This window comes from Homo sapiens, chromosome 14 (genome assembly GCF_000001405.40).
Source record: "Homo sapiens chromosome 14, GRCh38.p14 Primary Assembly".
NCBI classification, from domain to species: domain Eukaryota; kingdom Metazoa; phylum Chordata; class Mammalia; order Primates; family Hominidae; genus Homo; species Homo sapiens.
Genome location: NC_000014.9, coordinates 53363527 through 53379314, shown reverse-complemented (window position 1 = coordinate 53379314; position 15788 = coordinate 53363527). Strand labels below are relative to the sequence as shown.

At 39.3% G+C, this 15788-nt stretch overlaps 1 long non-coding RNA gene across 6 annotated transcripts in view, besides 1 other annotated feature; it reads right to left on the bottom strand.

Annotated features, from left to right (window-relative positions):
* LOC105370504 (uncharacterized) overlaps positions 1-15788 on the bottom strand; it is a 402142-nt gene that overhangs the window by 343479 nt on the left and 42875 nt on the right. For 4 of the 6 annotated variants that reach the window (XR_943876.3, XR_001750975.3, XR_007064173.1 and 1 more), the window contains exon 2: positions 9814-9863. This is a non-coding gene — a long non-coding RNA (uncharacterized LOC105370504). Of the gene's footprint in view, positions 1-9813; positions 9864-10167; positions 14013-15788 lie in introns of those variants that run through there. The other 2 variants (XR_001750974.1, XR_007064174.1) reach the window with 1 other exon arrangement.
* Positions 9823-12576: an enhancer, noted in NCBI's record as "VISTA enhancer hs1151". NCBI's record gives its function as "enhancer in: limb[8/8] | heart[3/8]" and the evidence as "EXISTENCE:transgenic organism evidence [ECO:0001131][PMID:17130149]".

Sequence of the window (15788 nt, the reverse complement as noted above, 5' to 3'; positions counted from 1 at the left end):
CCCTATCAGATTGTCTTGGCACCTTCTCAAAGATCAATTGACCATAAATGTAAGGGTGTATTTATAGACTCTCAATTATGTTTCATTGATCTATGTGTCTATCCTTATACCAGATCAATTCAAAAGGCATTATACCAGTACTGCACTGTCTTGATTACTGCACTTTGTAGTAAGTTTTGAAATCGGGGAGTGTGAATCCCCCAACTTTGATTGTAGTGTTCTTCTTTCTTATGAGTGTTCGCTATCCTGTGTCCCTTGCATTTCCATATGAATTTTAGAATCAGCTTATTAATTTCTGAAAGAAAAAAAAGCTAGCTGCAATTTTGACATGTATTGAATTGAATCTGTAGGCCAATTTGGGGGATATTGCCATCTTAACAATATTAAGTCTTCCAATTCATGAATATGAGCTGTCTTTCCATTTACGTAGATCTTCTTAAATGACTTTTAACATGTTTCATGGTTTTCAGTGTACAAATTTTGCACTTTTATGATAAATTTAAACCTAAGAATTTTATTCTTTGGATACCATCACAAATGGATTTTTTAACCTCATTTTTAGAATGTTCATTACCACTCTACAGAAATATTCTTAATTTTTGTATATTGATCTTATATCCTGCAATTTTGCTGAACTTATTTCTAATAGGTTTTTAGTTTGTTTGTTTTTAGTAACTTCTTTAGAATTTTCTATATACAACACCATTTTCTATATGCAACTATTTCTAGTGCAACCAGAAATAGTTTTACCTTTTCCTTTATCATCTGGATAGCTTTTACAGTAGTTCCCCCTTATCTGTAGTTTTACTTTCTACAGTTTCAGTTACCCGAAGTCAAGCAAGGAAAAAAATGTTAAATGGAAAATTCCAGAAATAATTCATACATTTTAAATTGCACACCATTCTGAGTATCATGATGAAACTGTTCAGAGTCCTACTCTGTCCCACCTGGGACATGAATCATCCTGTTGCCCAGCATATCCACACTGTATACACTACCCACGTAGTAGCCTTCTCGGTTATCAGATTGGCTGTTGTGGTATCAAAGTGCTTGTGTTCAAGCAGCCCGTATTTTACTTATTAATGGCCCCAAATCACAAGAGTAGTGATGCTGGCAGTTTGGATATGCCAAAGAGAAGCCACAAAGTGCTTCCTTTATGTGGGAATGTCAACATTCTCGACTTAATAAAAGAAAGAAGAAAATGTATGTTGAGGTTGCTAAGATCTATGATAAAAAAAAATCTATCCACATGAAGAAGAAAAAAAATCGTACAAGTTTTGCTGTCACATCTCAAACTGCAAAAGGTATGGCCATAGTGTGCAGTAAGTGCTTATTTAAGATTCAAAAGACATTAAACTTCTGAATGAAAGATATGAATGGGAACATGTTTCAATTGACAGCAACTGGGTTCGGTACAATCCATGCTTTCAAGCATCCACTGGAGGTGTCTTGAGTGTACCCCGGATAAGTGGTGACTACTGTATATCTTTTTCTTGCCTAATTGCCCTAGATAAAACTTCCAGTATAATTTTAAATAGAAGTGATGATCATGGACATCCTGTTCTGTTCCTGATCTTTGGGAAAGGATTTTTGTTGAGAATTGTTCATCTACATTCGAAAGTAGTTTTCTTGTGATAACTTTGTCTGGTTTAGTTTGTAATAACCGTCTAATAGGATAAGTTAGAAAATGCTCCCTTCTCTTCTATTTTTTGAAAGAATTTGTGAAGAATTGGTGCTAACTCTTCTTTAAATGTTTGTTAGAATTCACCAGTGAAGCCATCTGGTCCTAGGCTTTTCTTTGTGTGAAGTTTTTTGATTACTAATTCAATCTCTTTACTTCTTACAGGTTTATTCAAATTTCTATTTCTTCTTGAGGCAGTTCCAAAAACTGTTGTCTTTCAGAGAATTTGTCCATTTCATCTAAATAATCTAATTTGTTGGCCTATGGCTGTTTATAGTATTTCTCTATTATTCTCCTTACTTCTGCAGTGTCAGTAATGATTCCCCGCTTTCATTCCTGATATTAGTAACTTGAGTCTTCAAGTTTTTTTATTTTTTCCTGGCCCATCTGTTTAAAGGTTTATCAATGTTGTGGATCATTTTAAATATCCAACTTTTGGTTTTATTGCTTTTTCTATTGTTTTTCTATTCTCTGTTTTACATATTTCCACTCGAGTCTTTATTTCCTTCCTTCTGCTTACTTTAGGTTTACTTTGCTCTTTCTCATTCTGGTTTCTTAAGGGAGAAGTTAGGTTATTAGCTTGAGATCTGTATCATTTTTAAAAGCATTTATAGGTATAAGTTTTCCCTGAACACTGTGTTGCTGTACCCTGTAAGTTTTGGTATGTTGTATTTTCATTTGCATTTATCTTAAAATATTATGTAATTTCCCTTGAGATTTCTTTGACTCATTGATTACTTGGGACTATGTTTAGTTTCCATATATTTGTGAATTTTCCAAGTTTAATTCTGTTATTAAATTCTAATTAATTCCATTGGAGTCCTTTCATTTCTAAGTATTTTTAAAAGTATCCAATCAAAACTAATCTTGTTGCAATTCCACTCTAAAAGTAAGAACAAACAACTAAAGCCTGTACCCAAATAAGCCTGTACCCAAATTGAACAAAGCAATTTAAGGAATGAACTCTGCAAAGGAGGAAAAATGTAATCAACATCCTGGTGACTTTTTTTTCAGTGAATCTCACCCTTATTTTTAAATTAGAAATAAATATAAAAATACCTTCAAGATTTTCACAGGGAACATTTAATTTATGGAACTTACAAATATAAGCAGTAACAAAGAAATCACAGATTTTTTAGAAAGAGAAATGGTGGAGTGGGGAAGGACTAAAAAATGTGAGTGGTTTATTCAATCTAGTTTTAAGTGATTTCAAATAACAAGACTGTACCACTTCCCTTGGCAGATTTATGGAACTTGGGTAGAAATATTTTCCTGACATTCAGGCTGAGTTTTCCTTTTCTCAATTTCATCGTGTCAGGCATAGCCGTGCCTCTGTGCACCACCCCAAATAGTTCCTCTCCTTATTTAGTTTGAGTTTCAGCCCCTCAAGGACCTGCAGGTGGCTATTATATCTCTGTTTTTTCATTCTTCATCCAAGTCAAACATATTTAGGCCTCTTAATCTGTCCTCTAAAGCCAGCTATTATACTTTTGCATTTCTGTTCTTTGAATTTGGTCCAATACATACATTCATTCTTTCTAATTCATGAAGACCCCAAATTGTGTATGAGTCACTAGGGCTCGCTCTTGATGTCACACAAGCTACTGTCTACCTCTGCACCCCTGGCATTTTACTTGGGGTGTGAAGCCCAAAATAGTACTTAAAATTAAAAAAGAAAAATAAAGACATTTACTTTCCTTTACCAACCACAGGTGGTTTTCAGTCTCACTGCTTTCCAAGTACTGAACCACTGTCCTGTTGGATGTCTGTCATTTGGATTATTTTTTCCCTCTCTCAGTCGGCAGAAATAACCAAGTTCTTTCTCTGGCTCTCTCAACATTCCCAACAGTTCATCTGGTCTGGTGCAACCATTCACGGCTAAGGTCTGCCAAGTTTACAAGTGCACAAGTTTTTTCAGAGTCCTGCTAGTGTATCCTAACTATTTCTGAAACCCTCGGCTAATCTTTACCTTTACATGCCTCCCAATGGCTCTGCAGATTTCCAAGCAAAACCTAAGTCTGATTCTTTTGTATGTTTTCTCAAACCCAGCTAAAAGTATAAGATATTCTTTATCTAATCTTTAGAACAGTATTCTCTATAAGGTTCAGTAGCTCTTAGTACTGTATTACTACTTAGTGCTATATTAGTACTTAGTTCAGTAGCTCTTAATATTAGTACTTACACAAGATACAAGATTCCCACATTCACCCTCTCAACGCTATTAATGGCTGAGCATTTTGCATTCATTTCTACCCACTAACTTTTCTGCATGAGGTATACTGATATCTCATTCATTTGAATTCCACTAATTAAGAATGTAATGTTGCCTGGGCTGAAGTTTATCTTTGCTCCATTGATGAAGATTCAAATAAATACTATGTGGGCAGGGGCGGTACATTTGGCATATATAAAGGAATAATGCTGCCTGAGAACAAATACATGCTTTATTGGATATTTTGTCCATCAAAGTGTTTTCTACATTTATTTATTAAAGCAGGCTTTAATAAATAAAGCGTGCTTTATTTATTAAAACACATTATTTATTTAACATTGTTTATTAAATAAATAAACACATTATTTATTTAAACACAACCTTGAAATAATGTGTTTAAAAATTAATTCAAATTGCATGTGGAATAGAGAAGACTACATTGCTTTTCATATGGGAATTCAGATTTTTGCTACTTCCAGCAGCGCTGGAAAAACTAAGTGTGTCATTCATTTAGGTTCCATCCACAGATGCAAAGCCAAGATTCCAAAATGGAATCCATCTCCTATAAAAATGGTTTGCTTTCATTTAACATTTTACCTTCAACGGTCACTCCTTTGCTCAAAAATAACTCTAGAAATTTTATCATGTGACCTATTTCAGATAATGTATTTGTTAGATTGTGAGCTCACAAGAGCAGAAATTGGATGCACAATGCATTTCATATAGTATGGCCTGAAGAAATGTAAATTAATGTACAGACAAGATTTGAATGCTTAAGACAAAGGAGTAAATAATAGTAAAAATGTCAGGCATTCTGGGTGACCCTTTGAAATGGATAGGATCTTTATTTTTCTTTTTTTATACCAGGAAGAGTTTTTATGTGTTCTCTCAACAGGTCGTGTATCACAAAGTGGTGTGCAGGATTAAATGGAGCCAGACATTGGCTCGGATAACTGGACCTACACAATAAACATTCCCTGGCAAAAAGAGGCAAAGTAGAACCAGCAGCAAGATTAGACATTAAACCTAATGAGTCTAGGACAATTGAATCTAGGCATGCTTAGGTGACATAAATGACAAACCCAGATATACAATTAATATCCTAGAACTGGAAGGGACCTTATTGAGTACTTTGCTCAATCCGTTTATTTTTCAGATCCAGAAATTGAGACCAGGAGAGATTAAGGGACTTTCTCAGGAACATAAAACAAGTGCTAGAGCCAAGACTAAAATACACTTCTCCTGCCCCCCAATCCCTTGTTCCTCCAGCTGTGTCCCAGGTTCATTATTTATATTGCCAGTTGAATTGATGATCTTCCATATAAACTGAAAGACTTGCCACTGACTCTGATTTTTAAAGCTTGAATAGGAAAAACATTTGCTCATATATAACTGAAAAAAAGCCTAAACCTCATGCTTTACATAACATTATTTGGTTCTTCTTTATGCCAGGTGTCATATTTAATTACTCTTCATGGTATCCACTAAGATTTTTGCTTTAAAATAGTCATTATGTTACCACTGGGCAAAAAAAATATGTAAAATAACTTGGCTCCCCTGACTAGGGTGGTAAGTAGGATAACAGGCTGTCTTTGAAAGAATACCACTCAATGAGCCAACTCAACTGTTTATATAGGTGGATGAATACACAAAGCTTCCCGGGTACAGGGCTGTTCTGCTGTGTCTTGGGAAGCCCAGAGGACCTGCAGGGGAACAGTTACTATTGTTCCTGGCCACAGTCTCATTTGGATGCTATATCTGTACAGCAGGCAAAACAAATGGCAGAAAGTAGATTCCAGAAGAGAACAGCAGACCCCAGCTATATAGTTTTTCACATTTATAATGAGCAATAGCAGGTTTTCCCTCTCTTTTCTTAAACCCCAAGGTTTCTGACATTTCCCAGAACTTTGCCAAGGTATTCATGTTGGTGTCAAGTATCCATAACAAATGTTAGAAGCCAGCATCGCAAACCCCAGGAAGAATTATGAGATGCTTTCCCATACCTCAGCACCTCCTCAACACCTTTGTCCTTTCTTCAGGCTTCTGTTTCCTTTAAAAGTATCTTGTGTCCCAGGCATCCTGATAAATCCTCATAGGAGGGATGGTAAATGCGTGATCTGTGTGCCACGACTCCCTGCCTCCTGTGCCTATTGCAGACATTGCCAATCACAATTGTCTCCCCAAGGAATGTGGCCTCACAATTTACCTCAATATGGAACTCCAGACAATTATTCCTCATCAACATACCACACAAATAAAACCTGTTTCCCATCCCTGCCTTAAGATAGCATCACAATCTTTTTTTTTTTAAAGCAGTCTGGAAGGGAAATTCTTGAACCCCAAAAGTCTCCACTGACTCAATGGGCTTGGATAATAGTATGCAAAATAACAAGCAGCAAGGTTGCCATTTTGCCCCTCAAATTATATCATCCTAACAAAGAGGCAGTCTATGCTTGCCAAGATCAAATAGGAATATCTTTGAGAACATTGTACCCTAGGCTTATAGACCCTTCATTTTCACATATATGGTATATACATATATATGTGTGTGTGTGTGTGTGTGTGTGTATATATATGTATATAAAATTTGTTTAAGACAGGGACTTACTCTATCTCCCAGGCTGGAGTGCAGTAGTACTATCACGGCTCACTGCAGCCTTGACCTCTTGGGCTCAAGTGATCCTCCCACTTTAGCCTCCCTAGTAGCTGGAATTACAGGCACATACCACCATGCCCAGCAAATTTTATAGACTCTTTGACAATCAGATTTAACACCTAAGAGCTCTAGGGCTCCACATTCTCCTTGTGTAGTCCCATAACACAGTGGTTCTCAAACTTTGTCAGTCATGAGAATCACCTGGAGGTCTTGATGAAACACAGATTGCTGGGCCCCACCCTCAGAGTTTCTGATTCAGTAGGCCTAGGGTGGAGCCCAAGAATTTGCAGAAATAAGTGATACTGACACCACTTATCTAAAGGCTACATTTTGGGAACCACTGCCATAATCTGTTGCACTGCGGACTCCAGCCTCACCCTTCCTCCTATGCCTGCTCATCTGAAACCACGTTTTCAGGGTCAGAGAGTTGTAAAACAGCAATTCCAATGGTCTCTCTGTCTCTGCTCTGCTCTCCCTGGCCTCTCAGCAGTACTTGGCATTCCATTTTGATACCCACTCCTCTCTCAGTTGCCTGAATGCTGAACCACCCAGAGTTTCCTCCTAAATATATTACTGAGCAAATCTCCCTCCATATCTCCTTATGCCCATAGAAATACAAAATACAAGATTTTTCCCTCAGTTCGTCTCTCTGAATGTCCTTTATCTCACCTATTTCCACAAATGACAGCCCTAATGAATTTAGATTAAACCTGTATCTCCCAAATGTATCTTCATTCCTTTTTCCATCTTTATATTCTTAGTACATAGTACAATGCTTGATGTCTAGTCACCAAATCTCCCATTCAATATGGTGATCCACAAGACAGCAGAATTTACCTTTCTAGTCTTGCCTTACCCCATTCTCTCAACTGAGTTATGTACTCACAGTTGTGCTTCCTATGGTTTTTGCTTCCAAACTTCAGGGTTTCATTCATTCTGTGTCTCCACATGGAAGGCCCTCATGCTTACAGCTCCCTGCTCAAATCCTATACAACCACCAAAATCCAATTATATGCTGCCACTTTTACAGACTCTTCCCTGATTACCCCAAATGGGTGAGCTGTCTCCCTTTCCTGATCTCCTCTGGTAAGAGCTTCTCACATGCAGCCTCTATTACTCTCATATGTTCATACCTTCTTCCTTCTGTGCGGAGATAAGCTCTCTAATTGCAAGGCATATCTTGGTGACCACATAGTCTCCTATTTACCAAAACAATCCTGATTGCACGTATCTTATCCAATTATCCTCATCAGTATGCTCATACTTATCACACCATGTGTTCTCATTTTTGGTTCAAAGTATATGTTTCCCAGAATAAATAACCCATAATTTTTTCTGGAATATTAGCATGCTTCTCTTGGTATAAAAGCCACCCGGAAATATCACAAATCTACCCTTGATAATAGTTCAATGCTTTCCCCATTAATACTAGCTGTTCTCTGTCACAAAGACCTTTTACTACCTTCAGGGAGAGAATGTTTGTCCCCACTCCATCCAGCTAAAGGTGTTAAAGATTTAATCTACACATTTAGCCCCAGTTAGACCTTGAGCCACTTCTAACCCTCCCAGCATGGTGATCTTTCAGCAGCTTCATTCCCACCAGTATGTAGGGCCTGGGATTTGATTTGATGTTGCCAGCATGATATCCAATGTCCCTGAAGGGAACCACTGGGACCCACATGTCTGCTGACTGTAGTCTCCTTGCCAGGACCTGCTGAAATTCTACCCAATTTATATGACTTTGCTTTCTTCCCAACTTCCCAACTTGCACTCTAATTCTTCCTACTCTGAGTCACCTTGTTGACTGGGTGCCTACGGTTGACTTAGTCTTCACCAGGCACCCTTCTGCAGGGGCTTGGACCCTGTCACTATTCCTCCAGGCTTCCAGACAGACCTCCCTTGATGACTGTGCTAGCTTCTAAGTACAAGTATTGCTGCTTTCCAGGGATCTCTACTGTTGACCACCACTCACTAAATTAGAGCCTTCCCACCATTCCCCAGGACTCATTGGATGTAGTGATTTGAGCAGCCTCACAGCCATACCATTTTGGCTAATGATAGGCTCTCTAGGGCCTCACCAAAAGTCTACATGATACCTTCCTTCCAAGAACCCCCAAACCTAAATCCCTGCCGTCGACTCCCTTCTCATGGTATCCCACGGCCCTGGGTCCACTGATCCTTTTGGGTCTTCCTCTGCGTGGAATTGAGGAAGGCCTTGCTGATATTACTATTGGCTATTACATGCTTCTCCCATGGGTTCCACAGCGTGGGCTTAATTATCATTAACTCATCACCTGCATCACCCACCATCTCATGATGAATGAGACACACCATACTAGTCACAAAGGGTGAGGTCTCCTCCAGAGCTTTCTCCTGCACAGTCTCTCATCCTCTAGTCAAGAGGATGACTACTCTCCTCCCAACCATCTCCAGAATAATTGTAAAGATTGGGTTGTGGAAGAGAAATCTTGGTCTCGCCTTCATGGGAGGCCTCAAGGCTTGAGATTTCTTTTCCTGAAACTTTCACCCACTCTTTGGGTACCAAAGATTGAATCCTCACCAATGACCATCAAGAAGCCCCACTGCCTATAGCTAGCATTGGGCCAGATGTCTGACAGGTTGTAGGGAGAGTACTTTTAGTCTTCAGCTCAGACTTCTCATGCTTATACACTGGATTTGGATGATTTTCAGATTCTCCTGAAGGCTACTTAAATAGCTCCTCAAAACAATGGGACCCCTAGCGTGAGTTTAGCACACAGGGAAAACAAAGGCATACTCACACTTACAATCACCAGGAGTGACATTCAAATTCAACAACTGGCAGCCATTCATTAATTTGCCGGCTTGTCAACATTCTCAAAAATATAAAACTTCAGAATTTTTGTGGGAATATACTATTATTGTATCCAGCAAATCCTTTTCCATGGGGTTGCCAACCAAAATAAGCCATTTGCTGACCCAACACTGCTAATAGCATAGTTTTCAACAGAGAACGCTAAGTGTCAACTTTCTCAGCCTTCTACTTCCACCTATTACTTGCAATTGTCCAACTACTCTTTAATTCGACTTACTATAACTCAACAAACATTGATTTGAGGGCTATTGCATGACAGACCCTGCTGTTTCAGATGCTGCAGTAAGCAATAATAGCAGAGGATTTGAGAATGTTTACAACACATTTCCCATACTTCATCTCATTTAATTATCTACACCAAATTATTATACAGCTCAGATAAGTAAAACATTGATAGTCCTGTTTCTTACCTCCTTCCATCCAGCAAGCTATTCTTGATCCCTCTAAAGTCAGCTCTCTACTAAAAAAAAAAAAAAAAGAAATAAGAAAACTCAGTGGCCCAGGGAGTTTCAACAACCAGTTTATCTAACTGTTCTACTTGTTGCAGTACAGGCCACAGAGACCTCTACATTTATTCAGTGACCTCAAAAATAAAAATTAAAGTTTCCTCCAAATAAAAATTCCTTAAATGACTTTCACTAAATTTTCAGGCTAGCTTTAATGCTGGCATAAACTAAATAAACAGAATAGAATTTTGTTTATAAACTCTCCAGATTTGGACTATTAGTCATGAGCAACCCATACAAATAAATTTTCAAACTGACCTTTTCTACCCTTGCCACTTCAGTGTAAGTCATCCATGACTTCTGGTCATCCCACATACTTTGTACTGACAAACCTTTAATTTGCAAATGAAGATGGGATGACTTAATAGGTAATTTTTCATTTAAGAAGTAATATTTTTGTTAAGTGCCTTGTCTGACTAAGTTAGCAACCAAAGTTAAATCCACAGAGTATAAAAAGAGTTTTGTTTACACAAAAAAAAGAAAGAAAGGAAGAAAAATTCTTGTCCACTTCATTCTTTGACAATGCATCAGAATAATAGTGGGCTATAAATAGAAGATGCAAGAATGACTAATTCTGTTTTGACTCTATCTCTTCAATGACAAAGGAAACCCCTCTGTACAAACATATTAAGCTAAATCATAACAGCTGGACTTTAGGAATTTTATCTAGAACATCTACATCAAACAACTAAGGGTGCCAACCTTGAAGATGTACAAATAACTCCCAGTGGAACCCAGTTTTATAACTATCAACTCAAGGGACTTGTGATTTAAAAGAAAGATTTAAATACTGCCTTGCTTTAAAAGAATACTCCCTTGAAATCATCACTGCTAATAAAATACAGGAGAAATTTACCCCAAATTACTTTATCCTGGAAAAATCTGTCTTTTGTGACTGAGAGAGCACACATGCTTCATTTATAGCTAGAATCTTTCTTTCTGAAAGCTTAGTTATCCTTCAGAAATTTGTCAGCTAAATTAAGCCCTTAGCCATATAGAGAGAAGTCTGCTGGCACTGCACTGGGAAGAGAATGAATGAAAGACTGGATTGAATTTTCCATGGAAGCCGACAATTAATATTGTTTTCTTTGGTATATCCCTTTCTGTCCGTTGTTTTTGAGCTCTCCAAGAGAAGAAAAAAGTTAAGAAGCCTGATTCAGTCATTTCCAAATCTCACTTCCAGTTTCCATCTTATTTAAGACATGACTTAACTTTAATGTGTGTAACATAAACAGAATCATAAAAGGGAAAGAATTAGAACAGTCTGGAAGAGTCGGTGTCCAAAGCAGGAAAATGCCACAGCTGATTTGCCCTTTTTATTGTTGTTGGTCTTTTCGTTGTTTACTGCAAGGAGAAATTATCTGTTCCTCTGCTGCCGCTTCCTCACCCTCCATTACAATCACTGGGAATTCCAATTTCACAAAGTTATTACAATACAGCCACAAATAATCCATCTTGCCAAGTCCATCTTCAGGGCCGAAGATAAAGTTGGAGCTGAGTTGCTACACACATCTGGAGAAGGTTCGTTACTTGTAATCGTGAGCTGCTCTGTTAATGCACCCATGAGAAAGGGGCTGACAGGCTGCATATTTCTGCAAACTGTTCCCAGAAAGAACCAATTTCCTGACTTCCATGTGGTGTCAATAATGGAGGCATGAGATGGAGCAGTGCTTATGAAATATTAAATCTGCTTACAGGACCAGCTAGAAGCAAATTCAGACCACCTGTGAGAGGAAGTCTAGCAGTGGGTACGCACACTTTGGCACACACATGGCACATGTGAATGATATGCTCTAATCTATGCATTTGGGCTCATTTGCCACAAAACTTCCTGACAGAAGTAGTGTGTGTGTGTGTGTGTGTGTGTGTGTGTGAGAGAGAGAGAGAGAGAGAGAGATGCAGTAAAACACATTTCTGCACATTTAGAACTGAAACAGTTCAAATCACTGACATTATTAAATTTACTATCATAAGCAGCCAAAGTTCATCTTATTCATCAGGAAAAAAGTGACTGATGTTTCGTGGCATTAGTATTAGATCATTTTGGTTCTTGCCAATAAAAACAAAGCATTAGTGTTTCAATGTTTTAATATCATGATTTAATTCTCTCAATGATATTAGGACCAAGAAGCTCAACCAACGTGAAGACCCCATCAAAATTCTTGAGTCAAAACTATGGTTCTGAAATGAGTTCACCGTCCTGACCTCCCATTTCACAGTATATATTTTATGCTTGTGACTTTCCAAATATGGGCTCTTAACATTGCAAATGTAAAGTTTTATATGACTAACTTGTGTTTCAAGGGTTTGCCTAAGTAAATAGAAAAACATCTGGGCTCTTTTTACTGGCAAAAGCAAGAGATATTTGACCTAAGATCAGATTCTGAGACTTGAACATTAACTTGGTCTTTCCACAGAACGTCTCTAATTTTCCACAACTCTCTGCTGAGAGGGTTCAGCCCAGTACTTTTAGAGAAAGGATGGACAAAGCCTGTGTCCCCCTAAGACATATGTCCCAGTTGGCTTCTTTCACCCCAAAACTTTACCCACTGTTCTAATCCACTCCCACCTAAACAAAAAGGTACTACTATTGCAAGGCTGGAACAACCCTCCAAAGTCAGCGTCTCAGTTAGACTGGGGGCATCTAGCCCAAGATCTCTCCAGATGGGAGGGTGTGTAGGATACTGCTTTAGCTGGGAGTCAGGACTTTCAATCTGTCCCATCAGCTCTTCAAGGGCACCATCTACAATTCTAGTCTGAAATTCCTTTGGTTTAAGATAAGCCCCCTGCCCAGGACTCCCTAGAGTCTGGAACTATAGTAGTCTGCAGAGTGGCATTCTGGGCCTTGACTCCCTTTCTGACTTGGCATTGACCTCTAGAAGCAGAACAGGCCCACCCTCCAGGGACAGAGTGGAGATTACCCAGACTCAAAGACTAGCAGTATGGACACCTGTTCACACACAGCTCTGGACGGCACCATTCCCACTGCATCCCACATGAAGGGCACACCTGCACACACAACTCCAATGAGAGGATGCGGCCTATAGCTGTGCAGCATTGCAGCCACTGGAATCTAGTCTAACCTTTCTTGAAATTTTACACTAAAATTTAAAAGCAATCAACCTAATCCCTGATCTACTTTTGTCCAAGTATTTTATTAAAAATCAACTTTAACATTTTTTAATTGAAAGTTAAATTCTATCTTGGATATAAATAATTATGCTTCTTCATGACATTCTGACAAAAATGTAGTCACATCCAAAGGATAAGAACCAAGGCTAGTTTCAATAGTCATTCTCTTCACAAGTTCGATAAATTCTTAGAATTTTAGACTTTTAGAACAAGATTACATATTAATATGTCTACACGAGCACTTGTACACGAATGTCCATAGCAGCATTATTCATAGTTGCCAAAATGTGGAAACAATTCAAGTGTCCACCAACTGGTGAATGCATAGACAAAGTACAGTATGCCCATACAATGGGCTGCTATTCAACAATAAGAGGAAACACAAGTACTACAGATGACTCTCAAAAAGATTATACTGTGAAAGAAGCCAGACACAAAAGACTTCATGATTCCATTTTTATAAAATGCCCAGAAAAAATGTATAGAAACAGAAAGTAGATTCCTGGCAGCCTGGGGGTTGTGGTGGGAACAAGTTGTGACTACAAATGGACACATCTTGTTGCAGAGATAAAAATGTTCCAAGTGGATTATGATGATGATTTCCCAACTCTGTAAGTTTACTTTAAAAATCACTGAACTGTAGCAAAGATAAGGAATCAACTTAAGTATCCATCACCAGATGGTTGGATAAAGAAAATGTAGTGTATATTCAGCCATAAAAAAAGAACAGAATCACATCTTTTGCAGCATCAAAGATGAAACTGGAAATATTGTCTTAAGTGAAATAAGTCAGTGATATGGTTTGGCTGTGTCCCCACCCAAATCTCAACTTGAATTGTATCTCCCAGAATTCCCACGTTATGGGAGAGAACCAGGGGGAGGTAATAATCATGGGAGCTAGTCTTTCCCATGCTATTCTCGTGATAGTGAATAAGTCTCATGAAAACTGATGGGTTTATCAGGGGTTTCTGTTTTTGCTTTTTCCTCATTTTCTCTTGCTGCTGCCACATAAGAAGTGCCTTTCACCTCCCGCTGGGATTCTGAGGCCTCCCCAGCCACGTGGAACTGTAAGTCCAATTAAACCTTTTTCTTCCCAGTCTTGGGTATATCTTTATCAGCAGCATGAAAATGGACTAATAAAGGAAATCGGTACCAGTAGAGTGGGGCATTGCTGAAACGATACCTGAAAATGTGGAAGAGACTTTGGAACTGGGTAACAGGCAGAGGTTGGAACAGTTTGGAGGGCTCAGAAGACAGAAAAATGTGGGAAAGTTTGGAACTTTCTAGAGATTTGTTGAATGGCTTTGCCCAAAATGATGATAGTGATATGAACAATAAGGTCCAGGCTAAGGTGGTCTCAGATGGAGATGAGGAACTTGTTGGAAACTGGAGCAAAGGTGACCCTTCCATTGTTTTAGCAAAGAGACTGGCAGCATTTTGCCCCTGCCCTAGGGATTTGTGGAACTTTGAAATTGAGAGATATGATTTATGGTATCCAGCAGAAGAAATTTCAAAGCAGCAAAGCATTCAAGAGGTAACTTGGGTGCTGTTAAAGGCATGAGGCTTTATAAGGGAAGCAGGGCGTAAAACTTTGGAAAATTCGCCACCTGACTATACAATAGAAAAGAAAAACCCATTTTCTGAGGATAAATTCAAGCTGGCTGCAGAAATTTGCATAAGTAGCAAGGAGCCTAATGTTAATCCCCAACACCATGGGGAAAATGTCTCCAGGGCATGTCAGAGACCCTCATGGCAGCCCCTCCCATCATAGGCCTGGAGGCCCAAGAGGAAAAAGTGGTTTTGTGGGCAGGCTCAGGGTCCCCATGCTGTGTGTAGCCTAGGGACTCAGTGCCCTGCATCCCTGCCACTCTAGTCATGGCTGAAAGGGGCCAACATACAGCTTGGGCTGTGGCTTCAGAGGGTGGAAGCCCCAGTCCTTGGCAGCTTCCACGTGGTGTTGAGCCTGCAGGTGCACAGAAGTCAAGAATTGAGGTTTGGGAACCTCTGCCTATATTTCAGAAGACATATGGAAATGCCTGGATGCCCATGCAAAAGTTTGCTGCAGGGGCAGGGACTTCATAGAGAACCTCTGCTAGGGAAGTGTAGAAGGGAAATGTGGGTTCTGCATCCCCACACACAGTCCCTATTGGGGCACTGCCTAGTGGAGTTGTGAGAAGAGGGCCACCATCCTCCAGACCCCAGAATGGAAGATCCACCAACAGCTTGCACCATGCTCCTGGAAAAGCCACAGACACTCAATGCCAGCCTGTGAAAGCAGCTGGGAGGGAGGCTGTACCCTGCAAAGCCACAGGGGCAGAGCTGCCCAAGACCATGGGAACCCATCTCTTGCATCAGCGTGACCTGGATGCGAGACCTGGAGTCAAAGGAGATCATTTTTGGAGCTTTGAAATTTGACTTCCCTGCTGGATTTCAGACTTGTATGGGCCCTGTAACCCTTTTGTTTTGGCCAATTTCTCCCATTTAGAATGGCTGTATTTACCCAATACCTGTACCCCCATTGTATCTAGGAAGTAACTAGCTTGTTTTGGATTTTATAGGCTCATAGGCAAACGGGACTTGCCTTGTCTCAGATGAGACTTTGGACTGTGGACTTTTGGGTTAATGCTGAAATGAGTTAAGATTTTGGGGGACTGTTGAAAAGGCATGATTGGTTTTGAAATGTGAGAATTGGAGGGGCCAGGGGCAGAATGATATGGTTTGGCTGTGTCCACACCCAAATCTCAACT